Genomic DNA, 18,786 nt, shown 5'->3' with positions numbered 1-18,786 from the left:
CATTGTTTTGTTGCTTAACATCATACTGTGTTTACAACCACAGCCTTTTACAAACTATTTATAATTACCTATTGACCTTACATGATTTCCCAGTAAGATTGTAAATTATAAGGGAATGAAACTCATTTTTGTAGAAGCTGATAATTGCCCACCTAAATCTATTCTTCCCTTGATTCATAGTATTACATTGCTCACTATCCCCACAAATCCATTCGTCTCTTCTGTAGGATAGAATTATAGCTACAATATAGCTGTCCAGCCTGGGATATCCCTTGCCACTTTGACACCGTATCACTACATTTTTGGCAATTTGGATTACATGTGATGTTTTATACTTCAGACATGCTCATTTCTTTGCATGTCCTTTGCCATCCCCATGAACTAGAGTCTGGACATGCCTGAGACTCAGTGCTTTGCGTGTGCAGAGAAGCAAAATGGAAAGGACCTGGGTCCCTGACTGACTGCATGGAATGAAGCCACTATCCACCTTTCTCCTTTGGCTGTTCTGAGAAAAATAAGCTTCTGTCTTCTTTAGGATACTGAATTAATTTGAAGTTTGTTAGAGCAGCTGATGCTTTTTTTGACTCAAAAAATTGAGTAACAGAATAATGCTACAAGCAACCTTAATATATGTTGTTACCTTAGGTGTTAGACTGCAGGGGGGCAAAGGCACATGGCAGACAACAAAGCCAGTGATTCTTCTTGTGCTGTGGCAAAATATTTCATAAAACAATAACTTGAAAGCTAAGTACAATGGGCTCTAAAGAAAACATTTTACATCATATTATTAGTGTATCTCAATTCCTTGCTGATTATGTGAAGAAATTATAAAAATGATGAACTCAGGCAGTGATTAGCTGATTTGCAAGTAGAGATCCAACAGAAGAGAGGGCATATAAAAATTGGAAGTCCCATAGTCTTGTAAAAGCCAATGATTTCTCTTACCAAACAATGGCATATGATTATTGCTGTTCAGAACCTTTACCCAAGGCTACCTGTTATGCCAGCAAGGGACTGAGTTGTAACTTCCAGGCCAAGGATTCTATACAATTCCTGCCCTTCAGGATTTGAAATGTTTCACTGGTCTGCTGTTTGTTCTATACTTCAATTTTCTGAATGAAGGTTTCTATTGAATTCTTTTTTAGTATTTTGTCCAAGCCTGAGACAATAATTCAGATAATATAAAATTTCAGCAGGATAAAGTAAACTGGGGGAGTTTTTAGTTATTTCCCTTGGGTGATACTGACAGTATTTTTTTATGAATGGGGAGAAATTTGTATATACATTTGGTAGTAAAATGGGCAACCTGTGGTGGAGACTTCAGTGTGTTGTCAAAAAATATCCTTTTTGAGCTTGGAGCAGTGGCTCACGGCTGTAATGCTAACACTTTGGGAGGCCAAGGCAGTGGATCACTTGAGCCCAAGAGTTCAAGACCAGCTTGGGAAACAAAGTGGGACCCCTGTCTCTACAAAATACAAAAATTAGCCAGGCATGGTGGTGTGCACCTGTAGTCCCAGCTACTCTGGAGGCTGAGGTAGGAGAATCACCCTGAGCCCAGGAGGTCGAGGCTGCAGTGAGCCGAGATCATACCACTGCACTCCAGCCTGGGTAATGTAACAAGACCCTGTCTCAAATATATAGGTAGTCCCCAGCTGGGTTAGTGTTATCCCAGCTGGGGACTATATATCCCAGCCCTCCCTGTAGTTGTAGGTGGTAATGTGATTGCTCTTACCAATGGAACATGGGCACAATAATGGATGCCTCTTCTAGACCATTATTCCATGCTCATCCATTCATCTTTCACCACAGTCATCCATTCTTTGACCTTCTGGACACTGTCTATGCAGTTCTGATTCTTGATGTCCTTTCTTTAACAACCTTATATACATGGGGCATTCGAAATCTCAGCAAAATTTTGTAAGGTCTATTCCACATAGACAGAGCAGGTAACATTTCTTCTCTGTGGGCTATTACCACTCTTAGGACTCTATCCAGGAACAATACTTAGATGTCGTCTTTTCTCATTACCCCAAAACTATCTTAAAATATTTTGCCTCCCAAGGGCTCAGTGTAGGAAGCAGTAAAATATCAATCCTTTTCCTTGGGTACTTACCAACTCTACTTTCTTCCATTTCAAGTGTCCTATATCTTCTTAGCCCAATAAATTTATTTTTAGTCTTGGGAGGGTATGGTAGAAGAAAAAAAATATCTGATCCTCTATATTAGTCCATTTTGTGTTGCTGTAGAAGAATACCTGAGAGTGGGAAATGTATAAAGAAAAGAGATTTAGGCCAGGCGCGGTGGCTCACGCCTGTAATCCCAGCACTTTGGGAGGCCGAGGTGAGCAGATCACGAGTTCAGGAGATCGAGACCATCCTGGCTAACACAGTGAAACCCCGTCTCTACTAAAAATGCAAAAAATTAGCTGGGTGTGGTGGCAGGCGCCTGTGGTCCCAGCTACTCGGGAGGCTGAGGCAGGAGAATGGAGTGAACCCGGGAGGCGGAGCTCACAGTGAGCCGAGATCACGCCACTGCACTCCAGCCTGGACGACAGAGCAAGACTCCGTCTCAAAAAAAAAAAAAAATGTATTTGGCTCATGGTTCTTTAGGCTGTACAAGAAGCATGGTGCCAGAATCTGTTTCTGTTGAAGGCTTCAGGAACCTTCCACCGATGGTGGAAGGTGAATGGGTGAAGGGAAGCAGATGTGTCACATGCAGCAGAGAGGACGCAAGAGAAAAAGGAGAGGAGATGCCAGGGCTCTTTTGAAAAATTAGTTAGTGCATGAACTAAGAGTGAGAACTCACACAATACCCAGAGGACAGCAACAAGCACTCATGGGGGATCTGTCCCCATGACCCAAACACTTCCCACTAGGCCCCACATCCAACATTGGAGGTCACATTTCAATGAGAGATTTGGAGAGGGCGTTACATTCAAACCATATCACCATTTTTATCCCCCCAAATATGTTTAGGTCATGAGTCTTCTTCATTATCTTATGAACAGAACCTTTTGAAATTCAGGCAGGGAAAAATTCATTTTATTATTATTATTTTATTTTCCTCTGTTCTGTCGTCATACATACATTTTCTGACGTCTAAGTCCAGAAAAACTTTGCTATCAAAATAGAGGTAAGATCCAAGAGAGAAAAGAAATGCCAAATAAAATATCACATTGGTTAATACTTTTCATTTAATAGGGCAAATTACATGATGCTTATTTGAGAATCTAAAATTGGTTCTAATTAAACCCATAATAATATAACAAGGAACGATTCCAATTTTAATTACACATTGCTTGATTTCAAACAGAGCAAAACATATGAAAATGTTATGGCAGATCATTATCCTCGTATTAACTGTAAGCTCTCTGGCATTCCATAGTAGAGCATTAGGAATCCTATTTTTCTGAATAATTGATTGGTATCCTAGGAGAAATTGGCTTCAGCAATAGTCCTCAAAACCTAAGACCGTAGGATAAAAACTGTTCAAAATGTGGGAGAGAGGTAGGGAAGCTGGTAGGCAGAAGAGATTTGAAATGCTCAGGCCAGGTCCTGGACACTTGTTGTCAAACTGAGAAGTGTCCACCAACCCAGTCTCAGGTCCTTAAGAAGAGATGTGGGGTCCCAGGGATTCTTCTTGGCAAGAGATGGGAAATGAAACTGTCTTTGTTATCATTGTGATTAATGTTTTTAGTTTTCTTCTCTCAGACTGGTGAAACGGAGAGGAGAAAGATGACAAGTTGTCAACTGCAAGCCTCTGAAGAAATAAATAGGTAGATCTGTACAATTCCTTTTTGTGGAATATAGGGAGGAATATGAAGGAGGCCTTGGCAGGAAATTTGAGTATCTTATAGGAAAAGGCAGTAATGAATTTGACATGCTAAAGAAAGATACCATGTATCATGGATGTTGTTTCGCATGGTCGTGCAAGTGGTCAAGACCCCGTGACACTGAAGGAAAGACAGGCTCAACTCACAGTGTCGAATTGAGTGCTATGATTTTTGGAAATGTTTTGATGATCAAAATGTAACTTCTCTGTTTGAGAGCTGACCAGAATGGGCATTCAGTGAAAAAACCACTTTGTGGAAGTGGCTCCCAAACATCACCAATATCCACCAGAATGCCAACCCTTAAGGCCTCTTTTACATTATTTTCTATCAGACTTTTCTACACTTTTTGAAGTTGAGCAACTTCTTGAAACCCTCTCCACCCTGATCGCTGAGAGATCCTACCTCCTTCTCTTTTGGTTTCTTAGCCTTTTGTCCTCCTAACTCTCCTTTTCCACCAGTTCTTTAAAATGCAAGGTTCCCCTTATATTCTGAATTCTGTTTTCTTACCTTCCAGTTTAGCACTCTTTCCCCCTGGAAATGCCACCTACTCAGCTATCATGAATATATTGAAGATTCCCACTCAAATCTGTGAAGTTCTTTCAGGTTTCTGTAGGTAGAATAATTGCACCCTTTTTTGTGCTGTCAATTAAATTTCCCCCTAGCTCCATGAAACCAGGGTAGCTTCTGTTCACACATTCTTCTACAACTAGCCCCCAGCACAATGTCTGCCACATAATGGATATTTCTGTGTATATGAATAAATACATGCAAGAATGAATGAATGTTTACCTACATTTATAGGTGTTATAAATTAGCTTTTAGCGCAGATATTTTTAGTAGCAATTTAAAGCAACCCACGAGTCTCAGAACTGAATGCATGCAACTTTTTTAACACACTTTTTAGTTCTTTTTACTTTAGCCCGTCTTCTCCATTAAGTGACTTTCTGTTCAATTTGTAAAAAAAATAATAAAAATAATAACATTAACAACAATGAAAACTTGTTTTAAACTATGGTTACTGCAACAAATTCTAACACTGAACACATGTTTTAGGACAATCAAGAAAATGGCTAACTACAAAAGCAGTTTTGTAAAAAGAGTAATCAAGCCAATAGCAATGCCCTTTAACATATGAATTTTAAATATCCAATGCGTTTATAGAGTGAAGGAGATGTCATTAGTTCTACGTACGTTTGTTGTTGTTGTCCTGGTAGAAAATATATTTCTTACCTTATGTACTGACATATCACAAAGAAATTACAACTAAAACTGATCTCCAAAGTGGAGGAGAATGATTGATTGAGACACGAGATAAAAAATTTCAAGACAAATGCTGCCCTTTTGTTAACTTACATTGCGGTGGTAATTTGTTTACCTTCAATGAATAGACAAATAGCCCATTTATGTTAATACTAACATTTTGAAATATCATAAGATTATTACCATGTCATTCTCAAGTGTCATTTGTTGACTTTTTCCTAAGAATTATAGATATTTTCAGCCTAAAGGGAAATCAACAGATGATCTTATCCAGTTCTCTGCTTTTAGACAGGTAAGGTATTAATATTCCCATCTTAGGAAGAAACCACTACCGAAGATGTAAGAAATTGAATGACTTGACCAAAGTTCACAGTTAGTTAGTTGGTGGAATTTTAGATTTCACATTTTCCAAATTAGTGCTCCTGTTTCTATTCTGTGTTACTGATTTCTGCCTGCAGCATTTATGACACTGCATTAACCTTATAAAATACTATTATATTATGACATATTAAGAGGCACATTGTGGTGAGACTCAGGAAGGATACGTTATGACCTTATAGGACCAAAGAAAAGAAAAGCAGCACTAAGTTTTAGCCTCCGCTTCTACACTGTGAAGATTTCACACATAAAAAAATGAAACTTTAATGAAAAAAATCATAACTGTGACCTTAAATGTTTATATTTGAAGAGTAAAATAGGGATAGGAGTAATGTCAGTAGGTTGAAAGAAAACTAATTCTTTTTCTTGAAATTTTTTTCTACTCAGAATGCTGTGAATAAACAGCAGAATCCTATTGTTATTCTATTTGAGCTATGCTCATATAGAAAGAAGATAGTAAGGAGAAAAATGCCCATTATGTGAATGTTTTTGTACTTGAAACATACTTCTGATATCTTAGAGTAAGATATTTGCAGAAAACATCTGTAAATTATTGCGATTGTGCAATAAACAATCATGCATGCCCTTGTCAACTCTCCTTCTGAAACTGTCTCAGCTCAAAGCAGGCTTCTTCAGCCTTCTTCTGCCACTGAGAGATATATTAAACTAGCATTATAGAACTCTTCTCTTTGAATCTGTTATATCTGTCCTCCTCAGGCACTGACCTGTTTTGAAATCATTATCTTTTCTCCTATTTCTCCATCACCACAAAAATTCCTATATCTCTTGTTAAAAGTAAAACACAAACTTTAGACTAAATAAATGTAGCAGAGTTTATTTGAGCAAAGAACAATTCATGAATTGGGTAGCCGTCAGAACCAGAGGAGGTTCAGAGATCTCCGCCCAGCAGTAGCAGTATAAGCAGCCAGATTTTATAGGCCAAATGTAGAAACCAAGTAGGAAAATTACCTGTTTGGCTACAGTTAGGTGTCTGCCTCATTTGAGCATGGTGAGTACTTGCCTTTTTTGGTCATGGAGTGAGGAGTTAGCTGAAACTCAGCTATTTGTTATACTCCTTGATTAGGTTTTGGTTTGTTTACAGTCCAAGTTATGCTGAACTTCATTATGTAGGAACTCAAAGTGGAGAGCCAGCCTCAGACGAATTCCTTCCTTCTTCTTTAATTTAACACATTACAATAGCTATCACAATGTACTCTGTGATGGTCATCCCAGCAGCCATTCATGTCTGCCAGTTACACCTCAGTTCTGGGTGTTGGCCACAGTCAGTTCCGGTCAATCAGAATGGTCCATTCTCCTGGTCACAGTGATTCATTTAGGGAAGGGCATATATTGAAACTTGTCCCAATAAGAGTGAATCTCATAACTTTGCTCATGGGAAGAACAGGGAAGACACGGTGTCTCTTTTTTTTGAGTGGTGTGGGATGCAGATATGAGGTGCAGAATGGCTCTGGCCATTGTCTTATGATAAGGAAGGCATCTTAAGGATGCAGGTGACATGTGAACAGGGGGAAGATGTGAGAACCACATAGAAACAGTGAAATAACCAACACACCCTTTAAGCTTTCTTTTCCTCTTCGTATTTCAGTCACAAAGGCTAAAACCCAAGAGGAATTCAGAGGCAAGAGCCTAGTTTTCATTAGATATTCTTTCACTTAACTGAAAGTGTCTTAAAAATTATCAGAGTAAAGGAAAGGTGTCTTACAACACATACAGTATGAAACTCACATAGCTGAGGGTGTCAGACCAAGAACAACGAGGAACCCACCCTATCAGTGACAATTTTGTGGCATCTTGTTAAAGGTGTGGGCACCAACTTATGAACTATTGATGCTCTAACATGTAATTTCGTGATATGATTCACTCAAATTATTTGCACCTTGGAGGTGACTTTTTAACTCCAAGGGAGTGATTTTCTTATGCTGCTATTTGTGTAAGTTAGTTTTGGGGCAGGCAGAGTTTCCCATTTGCCTCTCAAATTATATAGACTACTCTGTGTGTGACACGTGTTGAGTGAAAAAAAAAATACAATCTTACTATTAATTTAGATAACAAAAATAATGCCATTCTTTAACATATTCAATAATTTTTCTTAATGCTCATCTGTACTATTGCTCTTTTTCTTAAGTGCCCAACTATACTAAAACTTATACTTAATTTATAATTAAGGAACATCTAGCATGGTTTCAGTAGCATTTTGGATGCTCCCAAACCTCAAGTTTTTGTCAGCATTGTTTTGTTCTGTCTTTTTAAATTTTCTTTTGGTGGAGACTAAACACAACGAAGTTGCTAACTTAGGACGTGGCCACAAAGAATTTCAGTCTCAGCTGCATAACTAAGGCAGATGGAAAGACGCAGCATCTGCTACACATTCTGGGTAAACATTCTATAACCTCTTAAGCAAATATAAATTCAAGGTGCCCTGTGCTTCTGCCCATACTTTTGGCTGGCCTCCAGGAGCCCCCATGAACCATCTGTCCATTTACATTTGTACTGAATTGTCAAAGACAATCATGATGTTGCCTGATTTTCACTTGTTTACAAATGAGGTCCATACTGTGCACTGGGAAGAACCTGGGGCAGGGAATAGAGGATACTGGGTTGTGGTCGTAGTTTTGCGCCTAACAGGCAATGTAATCTCAGAATGTTTCACCTCTCTTGGTTCCTTTTCTTATCTATATATCACAGGGTGGAACTAGATGTTCTCTGAGATACCTTCCAAATTCTATGGAACATTTTTCTTTATGCCAAAATATCATCTCCCTTCCATACGATTTGGTAAAGAGCCTGATGGTCTGCCTTGACCAAATCCTTTAAGACCTGAGGAAATAAATTTGGACTTATGGGAAAGCCATGTGAACTAAATAAACAGTCGTGGTTACTTCCATGAAGCACCAGTCTAACAGATTCTCTCCTTGAGCACAGCTACATGTCCATCCACTCATCCATCCATCCGTCCATCCAACATGTCTTGAGCTCTCACAGGGATGGCGACTACTGTATTTACTGAGAGAATAGGGCAGAATGCCAGGAATGGGCAGAAATAACACATAAAAGTTCATTTCTCTATGCTGAAAAACACAGTTCACTATCTCGTAAAAGGCCAGAAATAAATAAGCAATTAATTTACTAACTTCTTTGTGGACTGGGGATCAAGGATTAGAAAGAGAAGGAGAGTAATGAAGGTAAATGAAAAACTCAAAAGAAGGATACACTCTGGATATGAGAGAAAGCTTTTCCTCAGTTGCTTACCCTTTGCCACCAGAGTTAGAAAACTACCTGAAATAAATGTATCCCATAATTGCCAGAGCCTAATAAGGAAACATAGATGATTAAATATACCCTGTATAAATGAATTTCCTGGATAATGTGAGCTTGTTGAGTCCTGAAACCATGTCTGTTTTGTACACAGCTGCACCCAATACAATTAGCACAGAACCTAACATGCAGTAGACACTCAATAAATACTTGCTACAAAGGCTATTGGATGAATTAACTCAACTAATTCTAATTGGGGCAGTGCGATGTATTCTTTATCAATTATCAGGTAAAATATCTAATATGTCAATGTGTATGAAAGGAATTAGGCTGATTCATGGAAAACAGCAGAAATATTACAACTTCATTTTTATAAAATTAGGAAGGCAATGATAAGTACATTCTTTTAAATAATTTTAATACTAAACATTAATGCTTAGAGAAGGTAGAAGTAAGAATTTTGTGTGATTACAGGGCTATTACTACACCATCTAACATGGAATTTACTAATTACTGATTATGATTACATTTATTAAAAAGCCACTGTTACCCTTCAAGAGTCCAGAGCTGTTGGATAATCTCTCTCAGTGGATGGCATTCAGATCCAGGGTGGCCAATTTAGAGCAGAGGTTTAAGCAGCCTGAGAAACGAAGATGCAGCATTTTACCCTATGCTAGGCCTTGAAAATTGCAGCTATAGCCTCAGGCCAAGGGGTGGTGAGTGTGTGGCTCCCTCACTGTCCGTCATTCCAGCAATAGGTCTTCTACGGTCACCCCGAGAGCAGCAGCAATAATGTCATCAAGACTGTGTAGCAACAGCCATCCCTCTCTTTTTTTTTCCCCAAACAAAGGAGACCAATATATATTGGAAGTCCTTACATTTTATTTATATACAATAGGACACATTTTGGATGCACCATTACTTTTACGTAATTTTTACTGATGGACCTTATTCTTTTAGTGAAAGAAATCATAGGCCCGAATGTTGTCAAGTGAAAATAATTTTAGCTTTTATAGGAGCCATAGGGTCGTTTGAAGCAGTGGGAATGTCTTAATGATTAAGGATAGATATTTTTCAGTGCATATGTGGCTGATAGAATAGGGACTTGGTCAAATCTGTGTGGGATAGACTAGAGTCAAGCAATCAGAAGCTTTCGGGACATTCTGTGGCTTCAAGGGAAAAGCTTTCAAATCTTTTAATATTGCTCTGTACTAAGGCATTTCAGAGCCCACTTCCCTTTCAGATTCAACCATTACAAAAGTGGGAAGCATTGCAATCATTCCAAATGGGCACAGTGTGCAGAAGGTAAGAGGAGAATTAGGTGTATTAGAGCCCTTTATATTGGTATGTGTTCACTCTGTCACTCAGTTAATCTGCTAGCAATGATTCTAAAATGCTAAAGCCACATGGTGTGAGCCAGGAATTTTGTGAGATCTCTGCAGAGGAAAAAAAAATCTGTAGAAAATGGTGTTTGAGAAAGAAAAATTGAAGCTGGATGAAATTAAAGTGCTAACATATCTCCTCTACTCCTACTGGTCTAGACAATCCACTGGTGCCCCTCTGGATGAAGTCAGCTGTGGGCAGAGGCCATTAGGAGTTAACTCTCCATCATACCTACTGCTATGTAAGTTGGTGTTTGGTAGAGTTGCTGATCAGAGCTTTATCTTTCCTTTAGAGAATGGAATAGTCAAACAAATTAGGTAATAGGAGCTCAGCTTAGCACATGTCTCCAGCAGACACTACCAATTGCCCATCCAGAGCTTCACCATCTGACCAGGCAGAGCTTGGATGCCCTCAGCCCTCTGGGTGAATGGACAGAACTCAGGTTGGCTGGAGCACTGGGGCCAGTGGATACTGCCTGCCACAAAGGCACTAAAATCCTGTTTCCTTCAGCATGCCACAAAAATCAGATCATTTTTAGATTTGCATGACATTAAACATGTTAGGAAGTACTCATCTTCCAGATCTCTGTTCTCTCCTTCTTCCTTATTCAAGATAATCTGATTTTGTTTGGGGCAGAATGTGCACAATGTGCTCAAAGAAAATATTTAATATCCTAGTTCCATTATGGATAGACACGTCCAGGTAGCATAGTTGTTGCCAATATAAAGTGAGCAGAAGTTTACTAGATGGGCCTTCTAGAAAACCTAGAATTCCCTGGACTGTTGGTTCTCAAAGTGTAATCCCTAACTGGCAGCATCAACATATCCTGTACCAACACTCACTCTGCACTAAGGCATTTCAGGCCCCACCCACTTCCCTTTCAGAGTTAACCATTACAACAGTGGAAAGCATTGAAATCTTTCCAAACGGGCACAGGGAACAGAAGGTAAGAGGAGAATTTGGGCTTTTAGAGCACCTTATATTGGTATGCTCTCGTTAAAAATGCAAATTCTTCACAAAGGGCTACTAAATAAAAAACTGGGGGTGAGGCCCAGCCATCATTTTATTAGTAAGTGTTCAGATAATTTTGATGAATGAGCAATTGTGAGAATTAATGTCTTAAACCTAGACTAACAGTTCCTAGACTTGACTGAGAAGTGGAGTCACCTGGGTTGACTGATACTTGGGTACTAATGCAACTACTTTTGCAAAAATTGTAACTGAGACAATTATTAAAGTGAGAACAATCTGACTCGATCTTGCTTCTAACCTCCAAACTGTCCTTGTTCATTCCTGGGTGTAGGCCAAACTAACTTTGGGAGGAAAGTAGTTTATACTTTAACTTGGAAACAAAGACAATAACAGCCCTTTCCCCCAAAAAACTCCTTCCTGTCTGGGGACTAGACTGCCTTTTCAGTACAAACAAATTAGCCACAAGATTAGAAATTATGGTTTAGGAGTCATGCAGCTGGAGGCTGCGAGATTCTAAACCTCCCCAAATTGCTCCTGGGGATAACATCACTATTGTAAAACCTAAGATCAGTGCTTGAGATATTTTGCAGGCCCTGGACTTGATGGATCAGCTGACACTACCCAAATCGATAAACTGGCTCATCTGTTCTCATGGCCTCCACCCAGGAACTGACTCAGGTCAAGAGTGCAACTTCGACTCCCTGTGATTTCATGTCTGACCTGACCAACCAGCACTCCCAACTCTCTGGCCTTCTGTCCACCAAATTATCCTTAAAAACTAGAATCCCCAAATTTTCAGGGAGAATAATTTGAGTCTAATATTTAATAAGCCTCTGGTCTCCCATATATCTGGCTCCACATGAATTACTCTTTCTCTATTGCAATTCTCCTGTCTTGATAAATTGGCTTTGTCTAGGCAATGGGCAAAAAGAACCCATTGGGCAGTTACACTACCCCATAAGTTCTTTTTGTATTGTCCGGGGAGGTGGGTTGTGCCAGCCCCAGTCTTCTGGTTGAGATACTGCACTGTGGTTATTCTAGATGTTTCCCTCTTGCTCCTCCGGAGAGTCTACAGAGTGTCAAGGTCAGCAGAGTCTAAACTCTTAGTGGCACATTCTACTCTGTTCAGAGTTATTCAGTGATCAAGAAGACTAAAACTGAGTCTGCATTTTTTTTCTGTTCACTTATTAGTTGAAAGCTTCACTTTAAAAGTCAGTAACCAGGAGAGCTGTGCCAAGAATCTGTGTGTTTCTTCCTTACCCATTCTCTTCTCCCCACAGTTGTCCTAGAAAAGGATGAGAGGGTTAGATCTCAAAGGTCCCAAAGAATGTTTAAATATGGTAGCAGTGGTAATAGCCCTGTGGAGCAACCAAAGGAACATTGCTTTATATTCACTGCAGAATCTTCACACTGGAAGAAAGAGCTTTTTACATATGTTAAGTCACACAATGCCACATCCTATGGGCTTCATCTAGGGCCTCCAGCTAAGACTAGTGCTGGCTGTGCCCCAGTATGAGGTATGCTAAGTAAGCAACACAGTAGTTTAGACTTGGGGCACTGTGGTTTGCGGCTATCCAAGTTTACTTGTTTATTGGCCTCTAGGCTTTCCCAGTTGTTGGAGAAGGCAGCCAGAATGGGCACAAATAGTTGAAACAACATTCTGAGCAGTGTTTAAAAATTGGGTTGTAGTGAATGAGCCAGACTGGGTGGAGCTGATGCATTTGGTAAAACACATGTTAGCGGACGGTGGTGGTTTTGTTTCATAGTGAGGGTGGATTTTCACAATGGTGAACCACGCTTGGACATAGCCTATGCAACTTGATCTGCAATTAACAAGTAGCTGAACTGAAAAACAATTTAATTGGAGTTTTTTTGATAAAAGCAACCTCACAGAAATGACGCTCACTCTCCGCCTCAGCTGCAGAGAATTGTAGCAAATGAATGCTTAGTTAGGACAGCATTTCTCTAATTTAAATGACATACACACCAGTTTAAAAGGAAAAACAAAAGCTTTCAGTAGTCCTAGTAGTAATATAAGATAGTTTTTTTTAAAGTTACCTATAAACAAAAGTAGCTACTGGATATTAAAATTATCACCAATTTAATATGATAAATCATGTTTGCTGAAGAAAACAATCTTGTTTCAATCACCAAATTACAATTTTTTTTATTGGTTTATGTTCCAGTCTGGATCTGCTGTGAAATAGCTGCCCACGTGAACATGCAAGAATTTTATTAAGAGAAATGCCTGTGAGAAAAAATGGGAGGGAACCAGGGAGCCTGACAGAAGTCTGACTATTACCGGCAAGGGGTCCTGATCTAGTCTCTAAGAGAAGGTTCTTGGATCTCACATTAGAAAGAATTTAAGGCGAGTCCACAGGGCAAAACAAAAGCAAGTTTCTTAAGAAAGTAAAGGGGTGAAACAATAGCTACTCCATAGACCGAGTAGGGTGTTCCCTAGAGCAAGGGGAGGAACACGCCCACCCTAGGTACAATGCTTGTTTATATGTAGGATAAAATAAGATCATGGGGGGGATGTACTCTGCCAAAAAGGTTTGTGATAAAGGATTCATTTTCTTAATTACTATATTTTGCAAGAATCTATATTATTATCTTTAAAGCAAAATTAGGAATGCTTCTGTTCTCAAGATATCGGGATATCAGGACACTCCTAAGTCTGCGTTTGTTTAGTAAATGTTATCAATCTGTTCCCTTAACTTTAAAAATCTAGAAGTTACGAATGTACCTGACTTTCTGGGAATCCAGCCCAGCAAGTCCTAGCATCATTTTCCTAGCCCTCACTCAAGATGGAGTTTGCTATGGTTCTGACACGATCACTTATGAAGGAAGGAAAGAAGGTTGACTGGAGGGTCTTAGACTGCTGGGCTGCCTACAGAAGATTCAACAAGGCCGCTGGGGTGTCATTCAGCTAAAGCTGTCTGTTATAGGAGTCCCAGTGTCTCCGGGACACCTACTCTAATGTTCCTGTTGTGTTTTCATTGTATACTCTCGCATGTAGCAGCAGAACGTATCCGAGTCACATGGCACCAAAGTATGTTAGCAGTAGCAAATCCCTGTGGGTTTGCGGCAACCTCAGTTCTTGCCTCCTCAGAAGAAAGGATTTGACTAAGGAGTGTAAGGCAGAGTGAGAGACCGAGGCAAGTTTGAGAGCAGGAGTTAAAGTTTATTACAAAGTTTTAGGACAGGAATGAAAGAAAGCAAAGTTCACTTGGAAGAGGGCCAAGTGGGCGACTGGAGAGATCAAGTACACAGTTTGACCTTTGACTTATGGTTTCATATGTTGACATCCGTCCTGGCTCTTGCGTCCCTTCTCCCCTGATTCTTCCCTTGGGGTGGGCTGTCCTTATGCACTGTGGCCTGCCAGCACTTGGGAGGGGCTGGGGCTGCATGCACAGCATGTTTACTGAAGTTGTAAGCATGCTCACTTGAGATATTCTTCCCTTATTAGTTGAGTGTTCCTGTAAGGTCATATACCGGTTAAACCTCGTTTACTTCTTAGTGCACATGCATGAGCCCACTCACCCAACTCCTGAGATCTTATCTGGATCTCAGATAGATTAGCTGGCTAATCACCAGCTTCAGGTGTTTTCTATCTATTGGGAGCCTGCCCTTCCACAGCACCAGCTGTGACCAATTATTGTTTTAGAGGGACAGTTTAACAACCGCCTGACAGTTGCATGATAGCCGTCTGACATTCCTGGTGGAGGGGTTGAGGAGCTGTCCTGCCCTGCTCATCCCTGCCTGACTACCTATTATAACATTTCTAGTAATAGATCATTACAAGTTAGCACATAGATGGTATGCATTCAAGTTGAAATAGTACTAACTTCTAACATCTTTTGAGGTGCAGATGTGTATAGAACCGCATAATATTCCATGATTCAGTTTTTCCATCACTTGTATATATTGTGAAGTATTACTGGTAACATTTTCCAAGGTCATTGGAACTTCACTTGCCACAATTTCGTCGTTTTCATTTCATGTCTGTCTCTGTTCCTTTCTTAGTTGCCAGAAACATTTAAAATGCATAATATTTACTTTATGTTGTTTTTGCTATTGCAAGTCTAATTTTTAAAAAGTCATTTGTTAAACTCCAGTGTTATTCCTCCAAAAATATTTTCTAGTTTTGAATGACTAGCACAATAAAAGGGTGGGAGGTGATTTTACAACTGGAAAAATAACTCAACATGAATAAAAGGCTGCCTTTGTAAATCTGTCGTTCTGATAATAGAACAGAGCAGCTTAATGATAGCCAGTTATACTTACTGAAACATGAAAAGTTAAATATCATTGTGTTACTAGATTATTTGTTACAAATATGAGTATAAATATAAATGCAATGGCAGCACTGCATTCAGGTGGTGGTGTATGGTGTTGGGTGGCTGCCCAGATAACCTACATCAACAATTCTCAATCCCAGCTATGTAATATAATCAAGGCACTCCTAAAATATGTATCGGTACCTGAACATCACCCTTCGGAGATTCTGATCCAATTGATCTCCAGTGAAGGAGAGTATTCATACATTTTAAACTCACAGTTTTTTTATGAAAAGACTTATGGGTTTTTTGGTTATCTTAAAAATGAGAAAATAATTAACATAGAGATCTTTTTATCTCCGAAAATATGATCGTGGGTAGTAGAGTCACTTTGAAGACAGTTCAGCAGTTTCTTATAAAAATAAACATTCTTTGACTGTATGATCTAGTGATTGTACTTTTTGGTTTTTACTCAAATGAATAAAAAACTCATATCCACACAAAAACCTGCAAAAAGATGTTTGCAGAAGTGCTATTCATAATTGCCAAATTTGGAAGCAACCAAGATGTCCTTCAGTAGGTGAGTGAATAAACTGTAGCACATCTAGACAATGGAATAGATTATTCAGCAATATAAAGAAATGAACAATCAAGCCATGAAATGACATGGAGGAAACTTAAATGCATATTACTAAGTGAAAGAAGCCAAGCTTAAAAGGCTGCATACAATATTATTTTGACTGTATTACATTTTGGAAAAGACAAAACTGTATATTACAAGGATTAATATACAACCTCTGGTTACCAGAGGTTGGCGGAGGGTGGGATAAATAGAGTACGGAGAATAATGACATGTATCCACCATGGCAGTGTTTACACTGGAACTACTCTGTACAACACTGCCATGATGGATACATGTCATTACACATTTGTTAAAACCCATACAATGTCCAACAACAAGGGTGGACTCTAATGTAAACTATGGTTTTGGGTGATAATGATGTGTCAATGTAGGTTCATTGATTGTAAAAGATGTACCATTTTGGGTGAGGGGTGTTGCTAGTAGGGGAGGTGGTGTGATTGTAGGAACAGGAGATACATGGGAATTCTCTGTATCTTCCACTCAATTTTGCTGTGAACCAAAACTTGTTTTAAAACTTACAGTTTAGCAATTAAAGAATATGATCATGGGTCTAATGATCCCACGATTTAGTTTTGCTTTTATTTGGGAATTAGAATTGGTTGTACATACTCTTATTTCTCTTTCCTTACATCTACCATCTCATTGATTTTATTTTCAAAATATCAATTATTTTTATAATATTATAATTTTGAGGCAGTTCTCTGTAAATAAAACTCCATAATGATGCAGTAGGAGTATTTTATTTGAATTTATTTGAACACAGTTGCAGAATACTTCCCAGGCAAAAGAAGGCTCAGGGCTTCATTGATGTTGGCAATTTGTCAACATCAATGAATCAATTGGTATATTAGTAAAAAATCTCCAGTAGTTATATCAATAGAATTTCTGTAACAGAAAAATTGTGGTAGCAAAGGACTATATGGACATTTCCGATGAGGAAGCTGGAAAATTTATAATGATGAAAGCAGGTCAATTTTTTAAAAAAACTGGGTGCTGAAATACCTTTGTTTTATTTGTAGCTGCTGGGCAAATAGACAATTTCCTCCAATTTACTGGAATCACTAAAAATAAAACTTTTATAATATTAAGGGAGTGTAGTGTTTTCTTGTATTTAAGTAGATTTGCAATAAAATACGAAGTCCCAAAGAACAGCTTGATGTTTTTTAAACGTCTTAAGCTTGGGACTCTTAGAGACCTGATGCTAATTCTGGCTGTAGCTCTTACTAAGCGTCGTCTAGGAAGGAGATTAACTTCTCTTGACCTTAGTTCTTCAAATTGCAACATGGAAATAATTATAACTCATAGTTTTTTTCTGAGACTTAGGCAAGATAATGTATGTAAATTACCTGGCAATTGGCGCATAGTTGTGGTCAAATTAATTGTGAGTTATTATTACTGACAGAAATATATACGCAATTACAATGACTCTTGTCCCTTTTCCAATCAAGGGATGGTTCCCATGGTTTTCATTTATTTGTTTTGGTTCATGGAAAATCTGGGTATTCTAATAAATCAAGATCCAGAAACAGGGACATACTCCCAGGCTCAAAATTATGTATAAAATACCCCAGATTTCAAGAGCACTCAAAAATCTGTATATAATCCCCTTAGTTTTTAGGGCAATCTATTTTAGAGTTTGTTCTGAAGATGGTCTCATAGAAATAGGAACTGTGGGTTTAGGAATGGTGAAGTGTGATTCTGTATTAGAGAACTCAAGGGACATCTGAGGACACACATCACTAAAACTGTAAGTGTGCTGCTTCTGGTTTCTCTGGTATCATGGCCTCCACCTTCCCCAACCTCTGGTTCCTGTGGATCTGCCTTCTGTTTCTCAACTTCTCTGATTTTGATTTTTATTCATCCAGACTCAGTATACCTGACTAATCTCCGTTGAACAAAATAAATATCAGATCCTGAGGCTCATTGCCAGGTTTCCTCTCTTTTGCAAGGCTTCTGGCACAAAAATTAGTGTTCAACATGGTCATTCTAATTTCCTTCCCATGGAATCTAATGTGTCGCAGTAGAGATCCTTCAACTCCACTTATTCACTCAACTGATGTGATATATTAGAAGCTCAAACAGAAAAATGGATTCTAGGAGGACTATACCTTCTGCCATCAGCAACACATTTCATGATTCCATGAAAGGTGACCATGAATCCCTGCAAGCCTCAAAGCTGTTGAAGGCAGAAGCTCCCATCCCATCCCTCTTCCATTAGTTTTGTTATGCTAGAGCTTCCTTCTCTATTTGTTTTTGTTTTTTTTTTAAATAAGGGGTCTCCCTTTGTCCTTCAGGCTAGAATCATAGCTTACTGCAACATTGAACTTCTGGGCCTAAGCAACCCTCCCACCGCACGCAGCCTTCCAAAGTGCTAGAATTGCAGGTTAAGCCACCATGACTGGCCCTTCTTCTGTTTTTTAATTGCTCTGTTTTCTGGCTCCAATGCATAAAAAAAAAAAAGAGAGAGAGAAAAGTATGTTGTTATTTATCCTTAATCTTTCCCTTCTCCAGATTATAATAGCTACTCAGTATTTCATGACCTTGATGCTTTTAAAGAGTACTAATAAGTTATTTTTTTCAAATGTTCCTCAATTTTGATTAGACTGTTGTTCTCTTATAATTGGATAGAAGGTATGCATTTTTGTCAAGAATACCCCCCAAAAAATGTTATTGTGTCTGATATGGTTTGGCCAAATCTTATCTTGAACTGTATTCCCCATAATCCCCATATGTCTAGGGAGACACCTGGTAGGAGGTGATTG

At 38.9% G+C, this 18,786-nt stretch overlaps 1 long non-coding RNA gene across 2 annotated transcripts in view, besides 1 other annotated feature; it reads left to right on the top strand.

Annotated features, from left to right (window-relative positions):
* The window catches only part of LOC105374976 (uncharacterized), a 289,589-nt gene that overhangs the window by 51,815 nt on the left and 218,988 nt on the right, over nt 1–18,786 (top strand). The gene's annotated exons all lie outside the window — the stretch shown is intronic.
* Nucleotides 14,225–14,519: an enhancer, noted in NCBI's record as "tiled region #10928; HepG2 Activating DNase matched - State 8:EnhW". NCBI's record gives its function as "activates a minimal TATA promoter and a strong SV40 promoter by Sharpr-MPRA in HepG2 cells {active_cell/tissue: HepG2}" and the evidence as "EXISTENCE:reporter gene assay evidence [ECO:0000049][PMID:27701403]".

Source organism: Homo sapiens, chromosome 6 (genome assembly GCF_000001405.40).
Source record: "Homo sapiens chromosome 6, GRCh38.p14 Primary Assembly".
NCBI lineage: Eukaryota > Metazoa > Chordata > Mammalia > Primates > Hominidae > Homo > Homo sapiens.
Note: the sequence above shows the minus strand (reverse complement) of the source record. Positions and strands in the feature narration are given on the sequence as shown.